The sequence below is a fragment of the Homo sapiens genome, chromosome 2, assembly GCF_000001405.40.
Source record: "Homo sapiens chromosome 2, GRCh38.p14 Primary Assembly".
NCBI classification, from domain to species: Eukaryota; Metazoa; Chordata; class Mammalia; order Primates; family Hominidae; genus Homo; species Homo sapiens.
The window spans coordinates 71,430,132-71,457,566 of NC_000002.12; the positions used below are offsets into that span (position 1 = coordinate 71,430,132).

Here is a 27,435-nt window from a genome sequence, read left to right on the forward strand (position 1 = left end):
ACCTAGCTTAAGAAAAAGTCATTTTTCCACACAATTGTAAACTTAAATCATTTATTTTAATCTATTTTAAATATATAATTTTAATATATGTTATATACTATTAAGATAAATGTGCCTTTGGAGTGGCAGGAACAGATATGTTTGGGAAAGTTTATTACCCTGATGAAGAAATAAACAATTATAGAAAGAGATTGGAGGCAAGGAAACCAGATTGTTTTAACCATCAAGTTAAGAAAAGGAAGATACCTTTTTCTTATTGATTGTAGGACTTGATGATCAGTAAAGTGTGAGGAATAAGAGTAAGTAATGATTTCAGAGTTCCTTGCCATCCCCTCAGGAATACTAAAGAGTAGCCCAGATGTATGGAGGGAACACTGAACTTGAAGTCACAAAGTCTTGGTTCTAGCCTGTGTCACTCACTAGCTATGCAACCTTGGGCATATCTGTTTATTACCTCTTTTGATTGTGCTTTCTCCATCTCTGAAGAAATAGGGATGGGTTAATAATGATTTCACGTGCCTATCTTACATGAGGTAAAAGCTAAATGAATGATTATATATGTAAAAGGGTTTTGTCAAGTATTAGGCAACAGTAAGGCATTTCAGCTACTGAGGGTAATCAGAATTGCTTGGAATCAGTCTTCATTTTTGTCTGTCCCCAAGATCATAGTATGCAGAGTCTGCTAACATTGAGTGCTTCTTACGTGTTACTCACTTTGGTGGGCTTTAACATTTATATTAATAATTTTACTTGTGTTTCTAACAGGGGTCTTAGGCTATCAGTTTAGGCTCCATTTTCTAGATTGGAAGGGCCTCAGTATTGGGCCATAGAATCAATTTCTGCTGGTATCCTTTTCCCTTAATCTCCACTCTCGGCTCAGCTTAGCACTTTGCATATATAAGTTCTCTTGCCAGTAATGATAGGACTTGTATTACTTCGTTAAATTCTGCCTGGAACATATATAAATAAAATTTGCTGTTAGCTTTAGACCTATATTCCTAAATCCATTTGAATGGATTTACCCATTTATTCCTTACATTAAAGAATCTTGGAGAATATTGTGCAAAGAATGGCCAGATGGGATTAACAAAGGGAGGTTTTCCCTGAGAAAGAAAAAGGTAAGAATTATCCAATGTTAACTTTACAAAGTCTGTAAATCTATTCTGAATAGCTTTTTTTCCTCGAAAAATTTTAGTTGATGAGGAATCTGGATTAAAGGATTCAGAACCAGAGCGAAAACGCAAGAAGACTGAAGACTCTTCTTCAGGCAAATCAGTGGCGTCTGATGTCCCTGAGGGTAAAGTTAAAATGACATTTTTTTCTTACCCATATGAAATTTAAAAGTCGGCCGGGCGCGGTGGCTCAAGCCTGTAATCCCAGCACTTCGGGAGGCCGAGGCGGGTGGATCACTAGGTCAGGAGATTGAGACCATCCTGGCTAACACGGTGAAACCCCGTCAGTACTAAAAGGTACAAAAAATTAGCCGGACGTGGTGGCGGGCGCCTGTAGTCCAAGCTACTCGGGAGGCTGAGGCAGGAGAATGGCGTGAACCCGGGAGGCGGAGCTTGCAGTGAGCCGAGATAGCGCCACTGCACTCCAGCCTGGGCGACAGAGTGAGACTCCGTCTCAAAAAAAAAAAAAAACAAAAACACCATAATAAGTATTCTATTGTTTTAGGTGAGTAATTGGGTAACCTTGGCTGCATTGTCATTTTATAGTGGAAATTTGCATGTTTTACACAGTGGCATTTTTGAAGACAGCTTACTGGGCTGTTTTTACCTGAGAAGGATATTTTTACTGCACTCTTGAAATCTGGGATGTATCTCCTCTTTTATTCCTGGTGCTTTCTTTGCCACTCTGGTGAGAATTGAGTTATATTTGCCCAGGCAGAAAGTCACTCCAGTTAAGCAGAACATGCTGCAAATCTTTGCTAGCCGACTTTGTTCATGGTCAGCTAAGGTGAGCTGAGGGAGACCTTATTCAGCCATCATACTCCTCAATCAGACAGTTGCCCATCATTCTACCTCTTCTCTCTCTTTTATTTTAATGGGATTCCTAAGAGGTTTATTTTTATTATATTTTATTTTGAGACAGGGTCTCATTCTGTCAGCCAGGCTGGAGTGCAGTGATGTGATCTCAGCTAACTGCAACCCTTTCCTCCCAGGCTCAAGCAATCCTCTCACCTCAGCCTCATGAGTAGCTGGGACTACAGGCGTCTACCACCACACCTGGCTAGTTTTTGTATTTTTGGTAGATACAGGGTTTCACCTTGTTGCTTAGGCTGGTCTCAAACCCCTGAGCTCAAGCAGTCTGTCCGCCTTGGCCTCCCAAAGTGCTGGGATTATAGGCTTGAGCCACTTCTCCCAGCCAGAGGTATATTTTAGACTGTTAGGTTCTTATCTAATGACTTGGTATTCTGAAGGATTATTGAACAGTTCTTTGTTATCCGAAGATTCTCCTTGGGAATCTATTCAACTTGGCATTATACCAAAGCAGTGGCATACTGGCATTCCCTAGAGGTTCTGGAATAGTATAGAATGTGTTAACGAAATAAAGACTTACGTTTTCTGATTAAAATTACTACTATTGATCCCTAAATTTATAGCAGTGTGTACTGTTCTTATATTTAAGTATATACTGTGCTTAATATTTTTGTCGTGTTTAAATTGATGAAGGCCAGTTGTGGCTCACACGTGTAATCCCAGCACTTTGGGAGACCAAGGCAGGCACATCCTATAGGGGAGGTCAGGAGTTCGAGACCAGCCTGGGCAACATGATAAAACCCATCTCTACTAAAAGTACAAAAGTAGCCAGGCGCGGTGGCGCACACCTGTAATCCTAGCTATTCGGGAGCCTGAGGCAGGAGAATCACATGAACCCAGGAGGCAGAGGTTGCAGTGAGCTGACATCGCGCCACTGCCCTCCAACCTGGATGACAGAGTGAGACTCCGTCTCAAATAAATGAATAAATCGATGAACACAACTGGAGATTAATTATTGTTAATTTTCTTCTTGTCTCTTCTTATCCTCTAGAATTAGACTTTCTTGTACCTAAGGCTGGATTCTTCTGTCCAATTTGTTCCCTCTTCTACTCAGGTGAAAAAGCAATGACAAATCACTGCAAGAGTACACGTCATAAGCAAAATACTGAGGTAATTTTAAAAATTCTTACAAAATCTTGAGGTGTTGTTATTGTCTTAGAATCAAATTATTTATCTCCCCAAACGTACATTTCCCCCCGCTTTAGGAGAATGTTTATGCCAGTTTATTCCTCTTAAGTCCTGTTTTCTCCTTCAGTGTACCTTGCCTGTAATTTCTAGTCCTTATTCCTTTTCCTTGAACAGCAACATTTGCCAGAGTAGATTCTGCAGATCACTAGTCTCATATGACACTCCATTATTAAAGTAAGAAACTGCATGTTTTGATGCCCTCTTGTCATGTAGACATTAGCATATTAAAGTTTCTGAATTGTCTAGCCAGAATGAATCCTGGTTAACTTCATGCAAACCATTTATTAAACTGATTTAATCACAAAACCTTTTCTAAATTGTACACATCTTTAAGAAGTGTTACTCTGGAGAATCATCATTAACCATAATTGAAGTGGTGACTCTAGTTCCTGCTGAATATTTGAGAGTTTCGTACATCCTCTCTGTTGAATTTGTGGCACAGACACTCATCTAACATTTACTGAGCTGTTCTATGCTGGAAGCTTATTTAATCTCCTCATGAACTTCATGAGGTAGATGCTATTATTCCAATCTTAAAGATGAGAAAATAGACTTAAGGAGGTTACGTATCTAAACCCAAGGTCACATAGCTAGTTAGTAGCAGACCTAGGATTTGAACTCCGCTCTATTTCATTCTAGGCCCAAGCTCTTATACATTGTGCTTTGCTACCTGTGTGCTTAACTTAGTTCATCATGTCACTTTTCCATTTAAAACCTTCTAGTAGCTTCATATTGCACTTGGTCTAATATCCAAACTTCTTATTTTGGGTCTTCAAAGCCCTGCATGATCTGATTTCTTTTCTACTTCTCTGAATGCTTTCTGTGTTTCAGCTTTTCTGGCTCTCTCTGTTCTGTTTTTCATACATGAGAGACCCATTGCTGCCTTTGCACCTTTATACTGCTGTTCTTTTGCCCCTTCCCAGTCCTACTCGCATGGCCAGTTCTTCATGTTTTTCGTCTCAAATATCAGTTCCCCAGAAAGGTCTGCTTAAGAAAGACCTAGCTAAGTAGAACCCCCAAAAAAGTTCAGCCTCAATTACGTTGTTGCACTGTCTTTAAAGTGCTTACCACCGCCCCCAAAGTATTTTATTTTTTTCTTTTATTGTTTCTCTTCTCCCATTAGAATGTAAGCTTTATTGTATAAAAGATTCTATCTGTCTTGTTGCCCACCGAATCCTCAGGCACCAAGTGTAATACCTGGTGTGTCATAAACATCAAATGACTGATGAATGAAAGGAAGAAATGGTTATATAAGGCACTGTGTTTATAATATTTTGTAGGATCAGTTTCTTTTAAATTATAAATATACAGTAGATAAGTTTGCACACATAGCAAAATAACGTCTAATAAGTATTTTATATTGCAAATTGCTTTTAACAGAAATTCATGGCCAAGCAAAGAAAGGAAAAGGAGCAGAATGAGGCTGAAGAAAGAAGCTCTAGGTGATTGGGGGAAAGGAAAGAATTCACTAGAAATTTGTTTAGGGTCCAGTTGATTTGTGTATTTTTGTTATCATTTAATTTGTAATTTTCGTTTCAGAAGCAAATATTCGTGTTGTACAAATTTCTGATTGCCCTAAATGTAGAGAGACTGATGGGGAAAGTATGATGGGTTTGATTTTTATATCAAATCATCAGGCATGGAGAAATATCTTTTAGAAGTGTTAAAATAAATGTTCCTACTGTATATTTAAAATACCATCTGTGTTTGTGGCTGATTTTTTAAAGACTTGCTTGCCTCTGATTGCAGACAAGGTTTTTCACTACAACTCCTGTGATTTGGGATGTTTGGGGATTCTTCATGTATCACTGGAAGTCATAGCATGACAGTGTTTTACTTTGCTTCAACCATTCATGTGTATACAGGTCATAGATTTCTTAAAATTCAAATTTTTTCTGGATAAAATTAGATTACAGCATATTTTCCCCAAATAGGTTTGAATGAAACTTTGCTTGATTTTTATATGTGTTGGAAAGGTATTTTTTCTGCTTCTGGTAACACTTGCTGTTTCTGCCAGAACCCATTTAAGGTAACACCAAGCTAGTCATTTATTATTAGCTTGAATCTACAGAGCAGCCATTACTTCTGTGGACCACCAGAGTAGCTTTTTAAACCATTTGAATTATAGTTGAATATGTTTATAAGAAGTTTTAAGGGCACAAAAAATAATTGAATGGCTAGCAGGTGATGGAAATAGCCCTATACTTTTAAGTTTTTAGATTGAGCCATTCTTCAGACATAGTCTGAATACTTATAATTGTTTTAGTATTTGATGCCTCAAGATAGAGTGCACCAATTAATAATACAAAGAGGATGAATGGAGGGGAACAACAACAACAACAACAAAAACCCTACTTTTTTTAGATGTCTTATTTCCATCACAGCACAAGAGACATCACAGTCAGTAAGAAGGGCTTGGAGAAAAAAAAAGGCAGCACCTCTTTGTCACCTCCTATGAAACTCACTGCATACTTAGTCGAGACTTACCCACAGCCTGAGTAAAATTACAGAATGCTACACGTCACAGACAAGGGGTGGGGTAGAGAGAGGAGCGGCTTGCTGTCAAGAGTTTGTTGGAATTAAAACCTTACAGATGAATCCGGATAATAAGAGGGAGAAGAGCTGTTAAAAGATTGGGGAATAAGGTGCCTGTAAATTACAGAAGCACAGTGATAGTGAATAAGAATCTTAGTTTTAAAGAATCTTCCTTTCTCCTCAGCTTGCTTTTGGAACTTTTGCAACTAGGGAAGTTATAAGCTTCTTTAATCTTGTCTGGATCAGTCTTTTGAAATTGGGATTCTAAATTAGAATGAGAGGAGGAGCTGCTAAAGCATAAAAATGGTAGGGGTGATTTTTGTGTTTTATCCTAGTGACCAATGTTGACCATTAATTGTACATTATAAATAATGTTTTTCTCTGGGACTTTTTGCACTTAATGCTGGTAATTTTTATCATAGGGCTTCAAATACAAAAGATTTGTATGAGGTTTTCAGAAAATAAACATGCTCTTTGCATATAATTTTAGTATTGTTCTTGGCATTTTCAGAAAATCTTCCTCCTTTAGTCACACCACACAAATGGAACGTCATATACATAGTAGTTTCTGCTTATTAGTTGATTGAGGGATATAATTAGGATTGCAGCTGACTTAATTTTTTTTTTTTTTTTTTTTTTTTGAGACTTTGCTCTTGTTGCCCAGGCTGGAGTGCAGTGGCACGATCTTGGCCCACCGCAACCTCCATCTCCTGGGTTCAGGCGATTCTCCTGCCTCAGCCTCCCGAGTAGCTGGGCCTACGGACATGTGCCACCACGCCCGGCTAATTTTGTATTTTTTTTTTTTTAATAGAGACAGGTTTTCTCCTTGTTGGTCAGGCTGGTCTCAAACTCAGCATCTAGACTCCAAGGCAAAAAAAGTTTACATTCAACATGATCTCTATAAAAGTTTTTAGATTTTATTACCCTTTCTGGCATTAGGATGCTGTGGAAACTTGCCTCTCCAAAATTACTCCTTTTTAATCCTTCTTTAAAAAACATTTATAGGGGAGTCAGGTTTTTAAAACTTAAATTTTTAATTTTACTGATTTGTTATTTGATTGTGGAAAATGTCAAGCATATTAAGACAATAGGATAATTACCCTCATACATTAATTAGTTTCAATAATTATCAACTTAAGGCCAGTTGTGTTTGTCTGTGTGTATCTCTACTCCCAACTCTCTTGTATTACTTTAAATATCAGTATGTTTTACCCGTTAATTGTTCATTGTGTATTTCTAAAATATGAGTTCTTTTTAACCCTTATATTAAAAATATCCAGTACCATTAAAAAATCTCTTATTTAAATAATAGTTTGGTTCAGATTTTCAACTGTTTCATAAATCGTTTTTTTGTGGTTGTTGGTTTACTAAGTCTGAATCCAGATTCAAATAAGATCCATATATTGTGACTGGCTGGTAGGTCCTTTAAATTATACTATTTTGAATATATAGGTTCTTCCCTCCCTACTTCCGTCCTTGTAATTTATTTGGTAAAGAAACTAGATTCTTGGCTGTGCCAAGCAGTGCTGCTCAAAATGTCTTGGGACCCAGGGCAGTGCCAGTTCAGAAACTTTAGTATTAGTTTATGATTACTGAAGTACAGAAATTGAGAGTTTCTAGAAACATTTTGACAGTGATTTTATGTTCATTTATTGAATCTAACAATAAAAAAATTGGAGTTTGTATGTTTTTGTGGGGTTTTTAAAAAAAATTTTTTTTTTGTATTTTACAGAATTATTGGTCTATAGTTAATTGAAAATTAGGGAGAAAAAGAAAACTGATCAAGCACATAGTTTGAGAAGCACTGCTGACAGGTTTCCCCAGGTCTGACTTTGTTGCTTGCAACCATGTAGTACCTTTAACGTGTCCCTTGCTCTCTCTGTAGCTCATAAATTGGTAAGTAAATATAGACACTTGATTAGAGTTTGTTTTTTTCTTTCTTTTTTTTGATGAGACTACTTTAGGCAGTGATGTGGTCTTCCCGATAGGAGGCGCAAACTGATTGCCTTCTTTGGGATTTGAGTAGCAGCTGATGCTTAGTTTTGATCCACTTGTTCATTAGGGGTTGCAAAATAATGATATCTTAATTCTATATCCCTTTTTCATGTGTAAGCAGGAATATTTCTCTGCAAGGAGAAACTCCCCCTCATCTGCTATTTGGCTACTAGCGGTACGGTTTGTGTAAGAAAGACACAGATATGGGATGCTTTTCCTTTACTTACCTATTTTTTTCAGAATGAGTTGATTCTTTGGCATCCACTGTGATAAATTTTTTCTTAAGCATTAGTATGAACTTGTAAATTTTAACATATTTGATGTTTGAAACCTCTGCAGTATTAGTGTTATTGATCCTTATATGTCCCACATTTGATTTGATTTCCTCATTTCTACTAGTAGTTATCTGTATGTCAAGATGTTTCAGGCTCACTTCTCCAGACCTGGGGTCAGCTACTTCTCTAAAGAACAGTGGCTGATTAGGTGTGTTCATTGCTTCTGGACTGGTTATTGCTTTCCCATAGATGGAAATTGAAGTGTATGTTTTGTTTTCTAGACCAGGGTTCTCTGTCACCCAGGCTGGAGTGCAGTGGTGCAATCCTGGCTCACTGTAGCCTCAGCCTCCTGAGTTCAAGTGATTCTCGTGCCTCAGTCTCCCAAGTAGCTGGGACTACAGGCATGTGCTACCACACCTGGCTAATTGTATTTATAGTAGAGACAGGGTTTCACCATGTTGCCCAGGCTGGTCTCGAACCCCTGGCCTCAAGTGATCCACCCACTTTGGCCTGTCAATGCATGTATGTTTTGTTTTTAAGAGAAAATTCATCATCACTATACTGATTCTTCTCGTTCAAATTCATAACCTCTTCTATCTTAAATATAGATCTTCTTTGTCTTGTGTCAGGTATTACAATTCTCCAGGACATCAAGATGATAGACGTAAACTGTCGCATAATTGCTTAGCTTTTATCTCATCTTATATGCATCACAGTCACAGTAACAATGCCAAGACCTTAACCAACAATGTGATTATTGAAAACAGTTAAAAAATTTTTTTTTCAGTTTTGTTTTGTCCTGAGGGAATACCTCATTAAGAATATACATTCACATAGGGGAAGTCTCAAAGGAATTTTGTGTGTGTTTGTGTGTGTGTGTGTGTGTGTGTGTGTGTGTACATACTAGGTATATATATTTGTGGGTTACATGTGGTACTTTGATACAGGCATGCTCACATCAGGGTAAACTGGGTATCCATCACCTCAAGCATTTGTCCTTTGTGGTTCAAACAGTCCAGTTATGCTCTTCTAATTATTTTTAAATGTACAATTAAAAAAGTTTTTTTTAAGTAAGGTCTCATTCTGTCACCCAGGCTGGAGTGCAGTGACACTATCTCAGCTCACAATAGCCTCAAACCTCCCTGGGCTTAGGTGGTCCTCCCACCTCAGCCTCTGGAGCAGCTGGGACTACAGACGCATGCCACCATGTTCAGCTAATTTTTGTATTTTTTTTGTAGAGATGGGATTTTGACATGTTGGCCAGGCTTGTCTCGAACTCCTGGCCTCAATCTATTTTGATTTAATTTTTTATATGGGGAAAGTTGGGGGCCTAGTTTTATTCTTCTGCAAATGGATACTCAGTTTCCTCAGCACCATTTATTGAAGAGACTGTCCTTTCCTGAAGGTATGTTATTGGAACCTTTGCGAAAATGAATTTACTATAGATTTATTGGATTTATTTCTGTGCTCTCTATTCTGTTCACTGGTCTCTGTGTCTGTTTTTATGCCAGTACCATGCCATTTTTGTTACCATAGCTCTGTAGTATAACTTGAAGTCAGGTAATGTGATTCCTCTGGTTTAGTTCTTTTTGCTTAGGAGAGCTTTGCCTATCTGGATCTTTTGTTGTGGTTCTGTATAAATTTTAAGATTGTTTTTTCTATTTCTGTGAAGAATGTTGCTGGTATTTTGATAGGGATTGCATTGGATCTGCAGATTGCTTTGGGTAGCATGAACACTGTAACAATATATGAACACTTTAACAATACTGATTTTTCTAATCCATGAACATGGAATATCTTTTTATTTTGTGTGTCCTCTTCAGTTTCTTGCATCAGTGTTTTACAGTGCAGAGATCTTTCGCTTTTTTGGTTAATTCCTAGGTATTTTATTTTGTAGCTATTGTAAATGGAATTACTTTCTTGATTTCTCAGGAAATTTCAAAAATACATAGAATTGAATGAAAATGAAAACAACAAATTGAATTCTGAGATGCATCTAATGAAATGCTGGGAGGGAAATATGTAGCACTAAGTGCTTATATAAAGAAAGATCTCAAATCAGTAATCTAAGTTTCTGCCTCAAGATACTAGAAAAGTTAGAACAAACTAAATCCAAAGCAAACAGAAGCAAGGAAATAATAGAGCAGAAATTAATGAAATTGTAAACAGGAAAACAATAGAGAAAAATTAGTGAAACAAAAAGCTGGTCCTTCAAAAACAATAAAATTGATAAATCTCCAACAAGATTGACTAAAAAAATACCCAAACCACTAATATGAATGAAATGGAAAATATCACAACAGATCCTGCAGCCATGAGAACAATAGTAAAGGAGTACTGTGAACAACTCTACTCAAGTATAACTAGGAAGAAATGGACAAATTCCTCAAAAATCAGAAAGCACTAAAACTTGGCCAAGATGAGGCCGGGCGCGATGGCTCACGCCTGTAATCCCAGCACTTTGGGAGGCCGAGGCGGGTGGATCATGAGGTCAGGAGATCGAGACCATCCTGGCTAACAAGGTGAAACCCCGTCTCTACTAAAAATACAAAAAATTAGCCGGGCGCAGTGGCGGGCGCCTGTAGTCCCAGCTACTCGGGAGGCTGAGGCAGGAGAATGGCGTGAACCCGGGAAGCGGAGCTTGCAGTGAGCCGAGATTGCGCCACTGCAGTCCGCAGTCCGGCCTGGGCGACAGAGCGAGACTCCGTCTCAAAAAAAAAAAAAACAAAACAAAACAAAAAAAAGAACTTGGCCAAGATGAAATAGAGAACTTGAGTAATTCTGAAACCATTAAAGATGCTGAACTTGTAATGAAAACATCCTTGAAAAAGATACCTCCAAGTCCTGATGGTTTCACTGGAGAATTTTGCTAAACATTCAAAAGAAGAATTGATTTTGTGCAACCTCTTCCAAAGAAAATAGAAGAGGGAACACTTCTCAACTCTTTTTTTTTTTTTTTTTTTTTTTTTGGAGACAGAGTCTCACTCTGTCACCTAGGCTGGAGTGCACAATCTCAGCTCACTGCAACCTCTGCCTCCTGGGTTCAAGCGATTCTCCTGCCTCAGCCTCCCGAGTAGCTGGAATTACATTTTATGAGGAACTTATTTCAGGCATGCAGGGCTGGTTCAATACTGGAAAGTCCATTTAATAAACTATCAATAGGCTAAAGAAGAAAAACATGAGTGTATCAATTCATTTAGAAAAGGCATTTGATATAAAAATCAACACATCAATATTCTCAGTAGATCATAAAGAAGGAACTTCCTCAGTTTTATAAAAAGGATCTACAGAAAAAAAATCTGGCATCGTACTTAACGTTTAAAGTCTGTGTTCCCTCTAAGATTAGGAACAATGAAAGGATGTTCATTCCTGCCATCGTTAGGCAACAAACTTACTACTGCAGTTTTCCAGCCACTGCAATTCTAGGCAAGAAAAAGAAAAGGCATATAGATGAGAAATTTAATGAAACTATCTCTATTTGCAGATACATGACTGTCTACCCAGAAAACTTCAAGGAATGTGTAATAAAACTTTTAGAATCAATGAGTAAGGTTGAAGGACACAAGATCAACAGACAACAGTCATTTATGTTTTCTGTGTACTGACAGCAAACAAGTAGAAACCAAAATAACAAATGAAGTACATTTACATTTACACCAAAGAAAATTACTTAGGTATAAATGTACCAAAACATTTGTAGGATCTATATGATGAAAATTATAAAAGACTGATGAAAGAAATTAAAGGAAACCTAAATAAGGTAATTTATCATGTTCATGGATTGGAAGACTCAACATAATATCGATGTTAGTTCTCCCTAAGTTGTTCTATTGATTTAAGGCAATTTCTACCAAACCAATCAAAATTTTTTGTAGGAACAGACAATCTTATTCTAAAGTTTATATGGAAAAGGAAAGATTATGCAAATAGCTAAAACAGTTTTGAAAAAGAAGAATAAAACTGAAGGAATCCCTTTCTGATGCAAATGCTTATACTACATAGGTCCTGTAATCAAGAGCGTGCTGTATTGGCAGAGAGAAGGAAACATACATTGATGGAATAGCATAGAAAACCTGGAAATAAATCTACACAAATCACCTAGTTATTTACACAGAAGCAAAAGCAATTCAGCAGATGAGGAGAGCCTTTTCAGTAAATTGTGCTGGAGCGATTAGACATCCATCAGCCGAAAATGTACCTTGATCTAAACCTCACACCTTATATTAAAACTAAAAAACTCAAAATTATATATTTAAAATTATAAAAACTGAAGGGACCTTAGGTTTAAAGGTAAAACATAACACTATAAAACTTACAGAAAATAAGAGAAATTCTTCAGGGCCTAAGATTGGGCAAAGAGTACTTAGACTTGACATCAAAAGCACAATTTATAAGAGGAAAAACGGATAAATCTGATTTCATCAAGATTTTTGTTCTGTGAAAAATTATAGACTAATAGGAAATATTTGCAAATCACAAATCCAACAAAGGCTTTTATCTAGAATACATAAAGAAGTCTCAAAAATTAACGTTTAAAAATGATCCAATTAGAAAATCAGCAAAAGATATTTCACTAAAGAGGATATACAGATAAACAACACCTGAAAAAAATGTCCAATATCAGTAGCTGTTAGATGTAAATTAAAACCACAATGCGATAACACTACACATCTATAAGGATGGCTAACGTGAAAAATAGTGATAACACCAAGTGCTGAAAAGGATGAAGTTGAAACTAGATCACTCATACAATGCTGATGAGATTGTAAAATGGTGCAGCCAGTCTGGCAAGTAACCACATGACCAAGCACTTACACACTTGAACATTTATCCCATAGAAATAGAGACTTATTTTCACATAGGATGTATACAAGAATGTTTACGTAAGTGTTCATAGCAGCTTTATTCATAGTAGTTTCAAACTGGAAACTATCCACATACCCTTCAATGTGTGAATGGTTAAGCAAACTGTGGGTACATCCATACCATGAAATACTATCTAACAGGTTTTGTTTGTTTGTTTTTAAGGAAAGCTATTGGCCAGTATTGATAACATGCAACAACTTGACCCTCAAATTATGTTGAGTGAAAAAAGCTCATATCAAAAGGATACATGCCACATGATTTCATTTATGTATCATTCATTAAATAACAAAGATGAACAGATTACTTAATGCCAGGTATTTGGAATGAGAGGATCATAAAAAGGTACTAGTAAGGAATCTTGTGATAGTGAAGTATCTTGATGATGGTAGTGATTATGCAAAGCTGCACATGACAAAATTACATAGAGCCATATACATGAAAATTAGTGCATGTGTAACTGGTGAAATCTAAAGAAGTTTTGTGAATTGTACCAATGCTATCTGTTGATTTGGATATTGTACTATAGTTGTTTAAGATCTTAGTCTTGGGAGAGGATGGAGATAGGAAGCATAGGGCTTCCCTGTATACTTCTTTGCAACCTGCTATGAATCTATAATTATTTCAAAAGAAAAAGTTAAAATAATTGGATTCTGGGATTGGGTTGGTCATATATTCAAGGAGTGCATCGATAACCTCTTTGCCAGGGGTGAGTGGGACATAGTAATCTGTGATATGCAGTGTCATCACAGTTATTCAGATTATTGCCAATGGCATCATGGAATGAAGTGCAGGTAGAGGACAAGGCCTTGAGAGATGAAGTGTCTGAGGCACTTAAGTCAGTATGACAACAATAATGATTATTAAAACTGAGGCCACCTGTTTCTTATAGCCCTCTTGAGCATATTTTGGGAATAGGAGAAATAAAAGTTAAGAGCATACAATTAAGACAGGCATGGAGAACCAGAAGGCCTCCATGGTAGCTTTGAAGGAGTCCCTTATCTCTTGGAATCACAGAGCAGGTAAGGGTGAGGAGCCTCTGGTAGACACATTCTTCTACCACCTACCTGGTAACAGGTTGACTATATTCAGTCTCTTGTCATGGAGGGTACAATGCTTTGTCCTCACGGGATATATTATGGATATGGATTTGCCTTCCCTGAACTCAGGGCTTCTGATGGCACACTGTAGATTTTATGGATGGACTTCTCCATCACCATGGAATACCATCCAACTTCATTTTAACAAGGAGATGCATTTTTTTGGTAAATGGGCATGTGGGCAATGGGCCCATGCGTGCAGACTTGACAAATTTTACCATACGGTCCATCACCCAGAAGCAGCTGGCTTTTTAGGTGGCATGACCTGCTAAAGACTGGTTATGGCACAAGTTGGAGACAGCGTTGTTGCGGGAAGTCAGGGACCCTGAACCGAGGAACCAGCTGGAGCCACAGCAGAGGAACATAAATTGTGAAGATTTCATGGACATTTATCAGTTCCCAAAATTAATACTTTTATAATTTCTTAAACCTGTCTTTACTACAGTCTCTGAACATAAATTGTGAAGATCTCATGGACATTTATCAGTTACCAAATAATAGTCTTATAATTTCCTATGCCTGTCTTTACTCTCCTAATCCTGTTACCTTCGTAAGCTGAGAATGTATGTCACCTCAGGACCACTATTGTACAAATTGATTGTAGAACGTGTGTTTGAGCAATATGAAATCTGATTGTAAAACATGGGTGTTTGAACAATATGAAATCAATGCACCTTGAAAACAAACAATAACAGCGATTTTAAGGAACAAGGGAAGACAACCATAAGGTCTGCTGACTGCCTGTGGGGTTGGGCAGAATAGAGCCGTATTTTTCTTCTTGCAGAGAGCCTGTAAATGCGTGTGCAAGTAGGAGAGAGATCGCTAAATTCTTCTCCTAGCAAGGAATACTAAATATCAAGACCCTAGGAAAAAAATTGCATTCCTTGGGGGGGAGGTGTATAAACGGCCGCTCTGGGAGTGTCTGTCTGATGCAGTTGAGAAAAGGACTGAAATACGCCCTGGTCTCCTGCAGTACCCTCAGGCTTATTAGGGTGGGGGAAAAAATCCCGCCCTGGTGAATTTGAGGTCAGACCGGTTCTCTGCTCTCGAACCCTGTTTGCTGTTGTTTAAGATGTTTATCAAGACAATACATGCACAGCCCAACATAGACCCTCATCAGTAATTCTAATTTTGCCCTTGTCTTGTGATCTTTGCCTTGCCCTTTGCCTTGTGATCTTTATTGGCCTCAGAAGCATGTGAACTTTGGTCTCCTTTTTTGCCCTTTGAAGCATGTGATCTTTGTGACCTAATCCCTGTTTGTACACCCCTTCCCGTTTTGAAATCCCTAATAAAAACTTGCTGGTTTTGCGGCTCAGGGGGCATCATGGTCCTACCGATATGTGATGTCACCCCCAGAGGCCCAGCTGTAAAATTCCTCTCTTTGTACTCTTTTATTTCTCAGCTGGCTAACACTTAGGGAAAATAGAACCTACGTTGAAATATTGGAGGCGGGTTCCCCCGATACAGCATCCTAAGAAATGTAGCTGTTATCCTATGGAAACTTTATGTGCCTTAAAACAGAGGCCAACAATGTGGTGCTAGCTCTCCCATGGCTAGAACTTAAGGGTTTAGGAACCAAGAAGTAGAGGTGAGAGTGCCCCCTCTCCCTATTAGACCTACTGACCCACTTGTAGGATTTTAGTTCCCATCTCTGTGATCTTGGCCTCAGTATTTTGGAAGCCCAAGTGCTCAAGAGAGGAATTCATATACCAGGAAATAAGAACGTGACTCTAATGAACTGGGAGCTGAGACTGCCCTCTCACCTTTCGGAGTTCCTCATGCCAATAAACCAATAGGAAAAGGATCACTGTGCCTAATGGGAATGATCTGTTTACCAGGGGGAAATTGAATTGCTGCTACACAGTGGGGACAAGAAGAACTGTTCAGAACCCAGGAAATTCATGGGAGCGCCCCTTAGGTCTCTCCTGCCCTATAGTCCTGGTCAATGGAAAACTGACAATCCAGTAAAGATAATCCCACCAAGGACTCCAGTCTGCCTAGCCTTCATGCTGGCAGAGGGTGAGAGAAACATAAGTGGAAAGATTTAACTCAGATTCCCGACATAGGCCTTGCCACCAGCTACAGAAGTGGAGACTACAGCAGCCTTGTGTGGTGATTGTTGTTTTTAATCTCGTTCCCCTCCATTATATGCTGGATGACACAAACTCAGGATGCTCTGACAAGTACCCACCCTAAAACTACTGAGGAGGGTTGAATATGGGTAAAGATTGACCTCAGAGCCTAGGCTATAGGCTTGAAGGGGATCACACTGGAGGGGAAGGTATTCTTAAATGTCAGGGATGTCAGTAGGATCTGATTTCTGGATCAGACGACTGGGTAATGATTGGGCAAAGGAGCACGGCTACTGTGAACGACTGGCTGAGTATGAAAGACTGTACCCTGCTTTATCCGGTAGTCTCAGCAGGACCTTTATAAAGCTCAGTTCTGTTTTTCTCAAGTGGAATAATGAAGAACCTCAAGAAGTGTTCCTCAGCTGGCCCTATAAAAAGAAAGCTCTTAGGAAGGCCAGGGATTTGCTAATGTCAAGGAATTAAGTGGGTTCCCTGAGTTCTGGGGAGCCTGGTTAATAGGGCATGTTGTGGAAAGACAGAGCCCCACCAAAGTGGCAGGATTTGAGCCTTGAAAACTTTACATGGCTCTGGCAGCATTCATCCCAAAGATGATTATCCCCAGGTTTCCTGCTGCATCTGCTTCTCCAACAAGTTCTTCCTTGTTGGTCAGGATTAGGTTCTAAGAGATCCCTTCTCTCAATTCATCTTCTTAGAGATGGAATTGTCCCTAAAATAAGTCGACATTACCAGATGCATATCTTTGAGCTAATGTAACTTCCCCAAGTGTCCAGAGAGTGGAAGTCTCTCACCACCTCGGCTTGCCCATGCACCTCCATTGATCATACTCTTCAGATTATCTCTCCTTTCATCCTCAACTAGAGCCTATCTTGCATGAGTCTTGGTAAGGATTTCCATGCAGGCATATGTCTTCTTGATCTGCAGAACTCTCTTCTCCCTGGTAGTAACTCTTCTTTGAACAAGAAGTATCTTTCACCATTTCAATACCTCTGTTGTTCAAACCTCAAATGATTCCAACATTTTATAGATATCAGAGATCATAAACATTATTTGTGGCTTCATTTCTAAAGTTTTAATCCTATGAAATACTAGTCACACATTCCAATAATAGTAATATTAGCTAATATTTAGCACCATAATGTATGTAAAGCATTTCTTTTATGAGGCAGGTATTTCTATAGTTCTCATATTACAGATAAAGAAACCAAGCCGCGAAGGTAAGATCACTTGCCCAAGGCCATACGGCTAGTAGGTAAAGAAAGCTAAGATGTGAATCCAGGTAGTCTGACTCTAGCGTCATCCTTTTACACTACTGTCATTGTTCTTGTCTTGTCCTACTGGTCTTACAGTTCTTAGCTGAATATTATCTTTCCCACTGTCTTCCCCCTGCCTCCCGAGTCCCCCTTTTTTCACTTAAAGCCAGTTTTCAGACAGTCTTCTCAATCATTGTGAAATGTACTCCATCCAAATTCAAGAGTGTATTAATCTGGCATTTTAGGTTATGATCCAAAGAGCCAAAGTCTGTTCTTTGACACAACCTAAGTCAGTGGTTCCTGGTTTTTGGTCTGCATAAAAATAAGAGAACTTTTAAAAGCCAGATTCCTGGGCCATTCCCAGAGATTTTGATTGAGTAGGTCTGGGAGTGGAGGGGGACCCAGATGTCTCCATTTTTTACAAGAAGATTCTGATGCAGGAGATGTTTAGATTGATAGTACTTTAAGAAACACTAGGCCAGTCACAGTGGCTCACATCTGTAATCCCAGCACTTGAGAGGCTGAGGCAGGATTGCTTGAACCCAGGAGTTCAAGACCAGCCTGGGCAACGTGGCAAAACACTGTCTCTGTAAAAAAACAACAACAACAGCAAAACACATAAGTCAAATATTCACTTCTCTTGGTGCCCCTTTTCCAAAGTCCTGGCCATCAGCCAAGGGGGAAACAAAGTGAGACATTTGTTGCCCTCTTAACTCCTAAAGATGTTCTTTAGGCCTTTTCTGGTGATATCTTCCCATGAATCAACAGGAGTCCTTTGGTGTATGAGCTTCAGAAAGCTTTCTGGCCCCTCTCTGCCCTGAGACATGCAATAGGGACACCCAAACCTGCTCCTTTTGCCTGCATCAGCTCTGCCTGTGCCTTCATTTTGCACCCTACTCGGGAACCAGCCATCAGCAGCACCTGACTCTTCTCACTGCTGGGGCCTATAACAGGTTTCCTCACATTTGCTAGGATTGCTGCATCCTGGGATGTTGTGGCCTCTTCCAGAAGATGAGATAACCCCACTTTGGAAAGAAGTCGAACTCCTGTTCTGTTCCTCACTCTTATCACCCTGGTTTGGATCTCCCTCACTTCTCAGAGGCCTTCTATGTGTGTATTACTCAGGGTTCTCCAGAGAAACAACCAATAGGAGGTGTGTGTGTAGAGAGAGAGTAAAATGGAGTAGAAACAGTAAATAAATATCTGTTACGAGATTTGACTCATGCTATTATGGAAGCCAAGAAGTCCTACAATATGCCATCTTCATATTGGAGAATCAGAAAAGACCACACGTTGGGAATGGAGGTGGGGGGGGCCCACCAGGAGCTCAGCTGTGATGTCCGAGAGCAGGAGATGAATGTCCAGCTCAAGAAGAAAGAGTGGCTCTTCTAACAATCGCTGTGTGTGGAGGCTTTCCTTCGTGCTGTCTAGAGACTCCTCACCCTCTGGACTAAATCCAAAAGGAGGACTGTGCACACAGACTGACCTGTTCACATTAGTCCCAGAGCTGCGCTCTTGCAGCTCAGCAGATAGGCCGCTCTTCACTCCCTGCTCAAGAGGAGTGAGGGCTTTCAGAAGCCCCTGCACCTTCATGCTGAGCTCACTCCTTTCCATTGTATCAGCAGCCATGCCTGAACAAAAAATAGTTTCTATTTATTGAGTGTTTACTGTTTATTATGGTAGATTCTTGGGAAATTGAAACTCTCTGACACTACCATTAGTTTTTCTTCTTAGGGGAAGCAGATGAAATGACCAGGCTGTTACCAGGGTCTATGGTCCTTAGCAAGCTTTGCAAAGATCTGTGGTTTTTACAGAAGACAGAGAACATAGAAATAATGTAGTGTGTTCACATTACCTCTTTGGCGAAAAACCTGTTGTTGTTGTTTTTCTATTTTCTGTTGGAAAATAGTATCAAACTTGTCCCTTAGTTTCTCAGTGAAATTGGAGAGCCACCTCCCTCCCTTTCGTTTCTGTCCTGAAACAGTAAAGTAGTAAAAGTGGCCTGAAAACCACCCCTCTTTAACAGTGGTTGGTTGTGTTGACAAAGCCTTGGTGTACTCGTTTCCTGTGGCTGCTCTAACCAATTGTCACAACCATGGTGGCTTAAAAACAACAAATTTATTCTCACAGTTTTGGAGGCCAGAAATTCAAGATCAAAGTGTCATCAGGGCCACAAGAACTTGTTCTTTTATAGCAAGAAACAGAACTGTGCTTCATGCTCAGGAGTTGGATGTTGCAGTGAGCTATTTTGCCACCGCACTCCAGCCTGGGTGACAGAGGGAGACTGTCTCTAAAAAAATTAAAAATAAAAAGAATTGCATTTCAAGTTAACCTAAGTAAAATGTGCAGCGACTCACTATAAAGACACTGGGCATGTTGGTCTGGATCCCTGGCTGCTAGCTACAGCAGCCAAGCCTGGATATCTGAAGCAAGAGAGGATTTCAGAAGAGCTTTGGGGGCTAACAGAATGGAGGGAGGTTGGAGAACTTGGCTTTGGTTATGGACAGGACTCGCACAGCAGGCGCCCTACCTGGTCATTTGCTGTCACACGGCAGCTGCCATGTCTGACTTCCTGAAGCTCAAGAACTTGTTTCAAGTCTTGGGAGAGAGCATCCAACTGTCTGAGCCTAGGCCACACTGCCCAGTGACACAGAGTGGGAGGCCCTATCTCTAAAGCTTCCAGAAAAAAGGCAGGCACTTCTGCCCACCAAGAGGGGTGGGAAAAGGATGTTTTAGGAAGAGGGAGATTAAAAGCTGGAAGCCAAAAATGGCAAATATCCACCACAAGGACTATCTCAGCACTCACAGGCAGGGAGACTCAAGGAATGAGAGCCAGGAACAACAACCAGAAGGGTCTCTTTCTGGATCTTGTTTTCCCCACCTCACCCCCTACACGTGATCTCTTTTTCTCTGACTGCGAAACTTTCTCCACTTCATGTGCGGGGCCCCTTCTGAGCCTCCCATTTTATTCATCTCAGCTCCAGCCACACAGAAGCTAGCTTCTCTCAGTCCCAATTCCACGTTTTTGGGAGAGAGAATGTGATTGATTCAGGTTGGGTAGTCTCAGAGAAAGTGATTCTTTTAAATAGAGAAGATACCCCAAACATGTCCTACAATTTGGGGGCAGACATGCTCACTAGAGGTTTATTTCTGCACAGACTGGGCTGTGCAGAAAAAGTTTGAAGACAGCCTTCTGTATGAATAAAGTAGTGAAGTTGTGAGGAAGGTGTTTAACCTATACAGAAAACTGGCTCTTTTCTTTTTTTTTTTTTTTTTTCCTGAGATGGAGTCTTGCTCTGTCGCCCAGGCTGGAGTGCAGTGGCATGATCTTGGCTCACTGCAAGCTCCACCTCCCAGGTTCACACCATTCTCCTGGCTCAGCCTCCCGAGTAGCTGGGACTACAGGCGCCCGCCACCATGGGGTTTCACCATGTTAGCCAGGATGGTCTCGATCTCCTGACCTTGTGATCCACCCGTCTCGGCCTCCCAAAGTGCTGGGATTACAGGCGTGAGCCACTGCACCCAGCCAAACTGGCTCTTTTCAAATCACTGTAGCCACACCATATTTGCAAGCAGCTAGCTGCTTCTTAGGTCCAATTTTAGCTCTGCCACAGAGCAGGTTCATGTTACTTTATACATCTGAATAGAGCCAAACTGTACTTCTTTAAAAATAGACCATAATTTGGGCTTTCCCTACATCAACAGGGCCTCCTGCCCTTCTTCCCAAAGCAATTAAATTTTACTCCCTCCTTGCTATCTTTCTGTAAAATTTGAATCTGAAAAATGCTTGCCACAGACAAGGTACCAATAAATGTTGGTAAATGAATGAATGACTGAGTCAATCAATCAGTTGCTACATCCGAGCCAAAACTGTTTTCTCCAGCAACACATAATGGCCAAGTTCTGTAATGGGAAACTTGATTGCTTCATCTGCTCTTGCAGAATTTCCTTTCTTCCTCCTAGCTTTGCCTTACTTTGCGCCATCCCCCTTTTCACAACCTTGGTCCAAGTCACCATCAACTCTCACTCTGACCCTCTGCTGTAGCTTTTAACTCTTCACTTCCACTCTGATCCCTTGCACTGTATTCTCCAAAGGCAGCCCAAGGGAGCTTTTGAGAAGTAAATCAGATCCTGCCACTCCTCTGGACTTAGCAGGCCTCAGGCAGCTTCCCCCAGGCCCTGCATGGTGCCCTCCAGCCTGCCTGCCCCATTCCACAACCCCTTAATCTACACTCCTCTCCTCCCATGGCCTTGACAGAGCGCTTCCTTCTTTCTCTCTGGAATACTCTCTTCCTTGCCCCCACCTCAGTCCTGCCCAGTGAACTCCTAGCTGACCTTCAGATCTCATCTCAAATAGCTCTTACTGTCCTGGGCACGCGATGAGGACTCCCTGCTCTCTGTTCTCACACTCCCACATTTTCTGTCTTTTATGGCACTTACATATTTGTAATGGTATGTGACTGACGTGATTATTCCATAAGTGTCAGTTTCCCTCACTGAAGTGGAAGCTCTTTGAGGTTAGGGACTCTACTTGTTTGCTAGGGCTGTCATAGCAAAATACTGCAGACTGGGGGGCTTAAATAACAAAAATTTATTTCTCACACTTCTGGAGGCTGGAAGTCCAAGATCAAGGTGTAGTCAGCAGGCTTGGTTTCTTCTGAGGCCTCTCTTCTTGGCTTGCAGATGGCCGCCTTTTCCCTGTGCCCTTCACATGGCCTTTTCTCTGCGTGCATGCATCCCTGGTTTGTCTGTATCTAAATTTCCTCTTTTTATAAGGGCACTGGTCAGATTGGATGACCCTAATGACCTCACTTTAACTTGTTCACCTCTTTAAAGGTGCTATCTCTAAGTAGAATCACATTCCAAGGTACTGGAAGTTGCCTTTCACATAGAAATTTCGAGAGGACCTAATTCAGCCCATAACACAGACTGTGTCACTTGTGCCCACCACTGTGTCCCCACCCAGGACAGTGCCTGACTTATTTTAGGACTTGACACACTCCCATTAAATGAATGATTGCATTTCAGCTCCCCCCTTCCTCTTCCTCTTCCTCTCCCCACCCCCCACCATACGTTGTGCTAAAGGCAAAGAAAAGAAGGCATAGACCACTACAGAAGGACCCTAAGTGACCACAGGAAATGTTTGCTACCCTAATCTTGAAATTACAGACCTTTTTTTGGGGAGTGTTGCTCTCTTCTAGTATCTCCCTATGGGGAAAAAAATCAGCCACCTGTCAGCGGCCAGCCCATCCTGCCCTGGGTGTGTCTACTGCCCCCAGGGGCTGCTGTGGGAGTTTTGCTGACAGCTGCACACCCATCCAACTGGCCCTCTTTAGAGGGTGAGTCAACAGGCTGCCGGGAGTGTGGATCTATCTGCAGGAAGGCAGTTTAGCAATAGGTACTAGAACCTAAAAAAAAGTCATATCCTGTGACCTTACAATCTAATCTGAAGAACTGGGTGGGGGGAGGGGGAGGGCTAAGATGAGTTTATATCTTTTTTATTAAAAAGAAACTCCCTTTCTCACTATTATAGTAGAATCTGGGGAGAGCCTAAATGTGAAACAAGAGAAAGTTTGTGAATCTAGTACATTCATATGACAGACAATTATATAGCTATTGAAAATAGTGTTTATGAATAATTGTTTAATGATGTAAGATGTTACATGAAAACGTGGGACACAGACTGCATTCTACACTCAGATATATAATAAATACTGCAATTTACATGTGTGTATACATTCAGAGGAGAAAGCCTGGGCTGCCAAATACCCAAATGTTAATATACTATTTTTTCAGAACCAGAGATTTCTTTCTTTATGCTTTTTGTTTTAAAATGGCATGTGTTGCTTTTAAAGCCAGAAAAAGGGGGCAAAGTTTTTAAGGCAGCTGCCTTGCTTGTCAATGAAATTCTCAACTCCAGGCTTCTCTTAGGGAAAGAGGCCTCCCCAGGATCCCCCGTCCTACCCCGGGCGGTCGGGTTGAGTTCTGGAGAGACTGCTCCAATCCCCGAGGCGGAAGGAGGCAACCGATTTGGCGCAGCACTCAGCCAGGGGGTAGAAGCTCAGGGGAGGAGCCGAGCCTTTCTCCTGTCCAAGAGCGAGATCTGGGCTACGCCGGGCGCCCGGAGCCCTAGTCCAGCCCCCGGCCATCGCGGCCGCCGCCCAGCCAGGTGCAAAATGCCGTGTCATTGGGAGACTCCGCAGCCGGAGCATTAGATTACAGCTCGACGGAGCTCGGGAAGGGCGGCGGGGGTGGAAGATGAGCAGAAGCCCCTGTTCTCGGAACGCCGGCTGACAAGCGGGGTGAGCGCAGCCGGGGCGGGGACCCAGCCTAGCCCACTGGAGCAGCCGGGGGTGGCCCGTTCCCCTTTAAGAGCAACTGCTCTAAGCCAGGAGCCAGAGATTCGAGCCGGCCTCGCCCAGCCAGCCCTCTCCAGCGAGGGGACCCACAAGCGGCGCCTCGGCCCTCCCGACCTTTCCGAGCCCTCTTTGCGCCCTGGGCGCACGGGGCCCTACACGCGCCAAGCATGCTGAGGGTCTTCATCCTCTATGCCGAGAACGTCCACACACCCGACACCGACATCAGCGATGCCTACTGCTCCGCGGTGTTTGCAGGTAGGAGGGGCCGACCACCCTCGCCCGGGGTCGGGGTGGGGTAGAGGAGGGGACGCCGCGGCTCTCAACCCTGGAGAGCACCTAGAGCTGAGAGACAGGAGACTTTCTGGCCCCGCCAGACTGACGTTGAGTGTTGCAACGACACAGGTCTGCAGAGGGCGACTCAGAGGGAAACTGAGGCTGGAAGGAGAGAGGTGTCTGAATGGCGCTTCTCCTGGAAGCTTCAGCCCAGGTTGGTACTGAGGTAGGCCAGGAAGGTGGGACCAGCATCTCTCCTCTCACCTTTTCGGGATCTCTGAAAAGAGGTCTTTCTGCGTTGCCGGCGGCGAAGCGCTGTACTGCAGGGCTCTCCTCCTTCTCCCCTGAAGGTCTGGTCCCAGGCCTATTTATAACCCAGCTCTCTTCCCGCCCCGATCTGCGCCTGGCTGCTTTCCTGGCCCTTTGCTCTCTCTCAGAGGCTGGCCTGGCAGGCTGGCAGCCACTGGAGGCGAAGGCACCCTACCCTTGCTTTGCGCACAGGATGGGGGAAATTTAGCAGCTGGGCACAGCTGTCACAGCACCAACCTTTACAGACTTTCTCTGCCCCCAACCCCTGCCCCCAACGGACCAGTGGGTGGAGGGAGCGGGGGTCGTATCTGCTTTCTATCATCAGAGTGAGGCCTCCTTGAGCAGGGAAGCCACTCCCTTATCAGATTGGGACCTCCTATAGGAGGGCCTTCATAGAGTTATGACTTGACTTTTCCTCCAGGAGCTGAGGGCTGGGCCCTGGCTGCTCTCCAGGAACCCTTCAGGACCAAGCCAGAGCTAGGATCTACACAGCTGGGTCTTTGGGCTTGGAACCATACTGGGGGAGAAGAACTAGGGGGAAAGAGTGTGAACCTCCCACCCAGCCTGTGGGTTTTCCTCTCAGCCTCCACTACCTGCCACTCCCCTTCTCCCCAGAGATCTGACTTCTAACTACATCCCAGACTTCCAGAAATCATAGCATTAGTTGGTTTCTGGCCATTCAGCACAGTTTCACAAGCTCCTGGATACACCTGTTCACAGACACCATCTGCACATATGATCCCAGGCACATGCACACCCTGGAGCGTGTGGGACACCTGTGATGTTCCAAGGAATAAAAGCTCCGAAAGCACAGGCCTGTGTCCAGCTCAGCATGAGCAAGGGATCATGTCATGAGTACCTTCTCTTGGGTATGAGATTCAGGGCTTCTGGATTTGTTGGACCAGAGCAGAGCTTGAGGAGGAGTTGCTGAATGGTCCTGAGGCCTGGAAAGCAGTGTACACCAAGAGTGGGGACCAAGGGGGTGGCTGTGGCACTCCAGCTGTGCTTTTTTTCCTAACGTGCTGCTTTGATCTGCTCTCAATCAGTTTCCCACGTGGCCTCCGGAAATGAGCTTTATCCAGGTGTTTCCAGCAGGGAGGACATGGGAGTCTTTCATGCTTCCTCTCCGCATCCTCAGCTCTGGGCAGGCCAGGTCAGTGGCCCTGTTCAGCAGCCTGGCTGAGGGCTCTGGGCTCCTGGTGCACAACTCCAGGGGGCACCATTCATACTGTAAATAGCCCCTTGGCGGAGGGGAGGGAGGACAGGCACTCTGTGGGTGAAGCAGCCTCCTCCCACGCCAGCACCTCTTCCCCATTTATAGCCCCTGAACCTGGGGGCTGGTGCTCCAAATGTACACTCAGCTGCAGCAGCCCCTGCTGTCAGGGGCTTTGTTTCTGGCTTCCACTCAGCCTGAACCAGATTTTCTTCCACCTTCCCTGACCACATGCCCCCTCTGCACCCCCATACACTCAATACACTAGGCTTCTACCTCATGGTCCCTCACCCAGGCTAGGCTCAGACCTCTGGTTGGAGAAAGGAAAGAATGAATAATAAATGGCAGGCACTTTCTAACCCCAGAAGTGCAGGAAGTGCTGCTGGTGTGGCTTTTCTTTTGTTATTTCAGCCCCAAGGGCCTGTGTGTGGAGCAGCTCCCCCCATCCTGCATCCTCCCATTTACACATCCCTGGCTGAATCCTCTCCCCACCCCCATCTGCTTTTTGCCTGCTGCCTGGCTCTTCGGGGTAGGCTCCCCCTTTCCAGGGCCCAGAGCACACAGCTCACCTTGGGGAAAGGAAGTACATTTTCTGTGCCAATCCGTCATGAGCCCCTGAGCCTAGGAAGAGACTGGCTGGAGCCCCCACCCCTGGTCATCACTGAAACCGCCAGGCAGTCCTGGGGAATGCAGTCCCTCCCCTCCCCCAGCCCCTGGCCACATTTCACGTCCTGCATTAGCCAAGCTCCTAACCCATGTCCAAATTTGGCCTCCCTGTGACATTCAGGCCTGCTCGCTCTCCTTCTCCCTGGCAGGGTCAGCTTGGTGAATGATTACACAGAAGACTTCGGTCTCAGGGATGCAGCTCAAAGCAAAACACCAGTCTGGGAAGCCTTCCCTCCCCAGCTGGGCTGGGTCTGCTCTTCCCAGACTCTATCTGTTGTCCCATAAAGCCCCTCCTTTGGTTACATGATTATAATACCCTGTAGCCACACTTCACAGCCCCTTTGTGCATGTATACATTCATTGCAAGCTCACAGAAGCTTTGTGAGGTAGAGGGCAAAGATATTATCCCCCCTTAAAGATAAGGATATTGGCCCAGAGAAGTGAAGGAGCCTGGCCAAGGTCACATAGTGGCCACAGCATCCCCACCCCCAACCCCTCATCAGTGCCCTCTGTTGTTCTCAGTATCCTTGGTGCATGAATAAGAAAGTGCTCTGGAGAGCATACCATATGCTGCCCACACCCAGGGCACCAGGGCACTCGGACCTGAGCCAGCCAGGGAGGGTGGTGCCTGGGGTCCCCAGCAAGAAGCTGAGTCAGAGTAGGGGGAGTGCAGGGCTGCAGGAGCATGGTGTGAAACAATTGACCAAAAGATGGAGGATTCTGGGGTTTCAAATGCGTGTTCCTCACAAACAGAGGGAATGGACATTTGCTAAGCACAAAAGCATACCATTGTCAGGTGGTGTTTCTTGAAAATCCCACCAACAGTCCTATGAAAGAGATCTATTTAACTGACACCATGCTTATTTTAAGGCAGATACTGTTCTAACTAGAACATTAATAGAAGCTACATCATGACCCGGTTATAATTTGTACCAGGTCCTTATATGTAGACATATACACCTCAGTCCTCTTAGCAAGCATATGTGGTAGCAACTGTCATCACTCCCATTCTACAGATAAGGAAACTGAGGCATGAAGAGGTTAAGTAAGTTGCCTGAGGTTATACACTGGTAAGTAGTGGGGTTATGATTTGAGTCTAAGTATCTGGCTCCTGAGCCCCCACAATATCCCCAGCTTTAACCACTCTGCTATCTACCTCTGGCTTTAGCTTGGATTTACCAAAGACAAGCAAGAAAAGGTGGAGGGGCAGGACCTGAACCCAGGCCTGGCTGAGACCCTGATGCCCCCCTCGGTCTGCACCTTGACTCCTCTCA

General features: G+C 42.6%; 2 protein-coding genes across 11 annotated transcripts in view, besides 4 other annotated features; both read left to right on the plus strand.

The window, feature by feature from the left end:
• Window positions 1–4,930, plus strand: part of ZNF638 (zinc finger protein 638) — a 103,280-nt gene extending 98,350 nt beyond the window's left edge. For 3 of the 4 annotated variants that reach the window (NM_014497.5, NM_001252612.2, NM_001014972.3), the window contains exons 26-28: window positions 1,196–1,297; window positions 3,034–3,152; window positions 4,611–4,930. In NM_014497.5, coding sequence (NP_055312.2) covers window positions 1,196–1,297; window positions 3,034–3,152; window positions 4,611–4,676 — 287 coding nt within the window. In that variant the 3' untranslated portion in view covers window positions 4,677–4,930. The remainder of the gene's footprint in view (window positions 1–1,195; window positions 1,298–3,033; window positions 3,153–4,610) is intronic. The other variant, NM_001252613.2, reaches the window with a different exon arrangement.
• Window positions 15,098–15,599: an enhancer, noted in NCBI's record as "H3K27ac hESC enhancer chr2:71672359-71672860 (GRCh37/hg19 assembly coordinates)". NCBI's record gives its function as "activates a minimal SCP1, AML or CMV promoter by ChIP-STARR-seq in primed H9 embryonic stem cells {active_cell/tissue: H9 hESC(primed)}" and the evidence as "EXISTENCE:reporter gene assay evidence [ECO:0000049][PMID:30033119]".
• Window positions 20,791–20,977: a silencer, noted in NCBI's record as "fragment chr2:71678052-71678238 (GRCh37/hg19 assembly coordinates)". NCBI's record gives its function as "represses an EF-1alpha promoter that drives an FKBP-Casp9 reporter gene in an ReSE screen in K562 erythroleukemia cells {active_cell/tissue: K562}" and the evidence as "EXISTENCE:reporter gene assay evidence [ECO:0000049][PMID:32094911]".
• Window positions 23,288–24,137: an enhancer, noted in NCBI's record as "H3K27ac-H3K4me1 hESC enhancer chr2:71680549-71681398 (GRCh37/hg19 assembly coordinates)". NCBI's record gives its function as "activates a minimal SCP1, AML or CMV promoter by ChIP-STARR-seq in naive H9 embryonic stem cells {active_cell/tissue: H9 hESC(naive)}" and the evidence as "EXISTENCE:reporter gene assay evidence [ECO:0000049][PMID:30033119]".
• Window positions 23,430–27,435, plus strand: part of DYSF (dysferlin) — a 233,203-nt gene continuing 229,197 nt past the window's right edge. For all 7 annotated transcript variants that reach the window (NM_001130979.2, NM_001130981.2, NM_001130980.2 and 4 more), the window contains exon 1: window positions 23,430–23,955. In NM_001130979.2, the coding sequence (NP_001124451.1) occupies window positions 23,868–23,955 (88 nt within the window). In that variant the 5' untranslated portion in view covers window positions 23,430–23,867. The remainder of the gene's footprint in view (window positions 23,956–27,435) is intronic.
• Window positions 24,138–24,986: an enhancer, noted in NCBI's record as "H3K27ac-H3K4me1 hESC enhancer chr2:71681399-71682247 (GRCh37/hg19 assembly coordinates)". NCBI's record gives its function as "activates a minimal SCP1, AML or CMV promoter by ChIP-STARR-seq in naive H9 embryonic stem cells {active_cell/tissue: H9 hESC(naive)}" and the evidence as "EXISTENCE:reporter gene assay evidence [ECO:0000049][PMID:30033119]".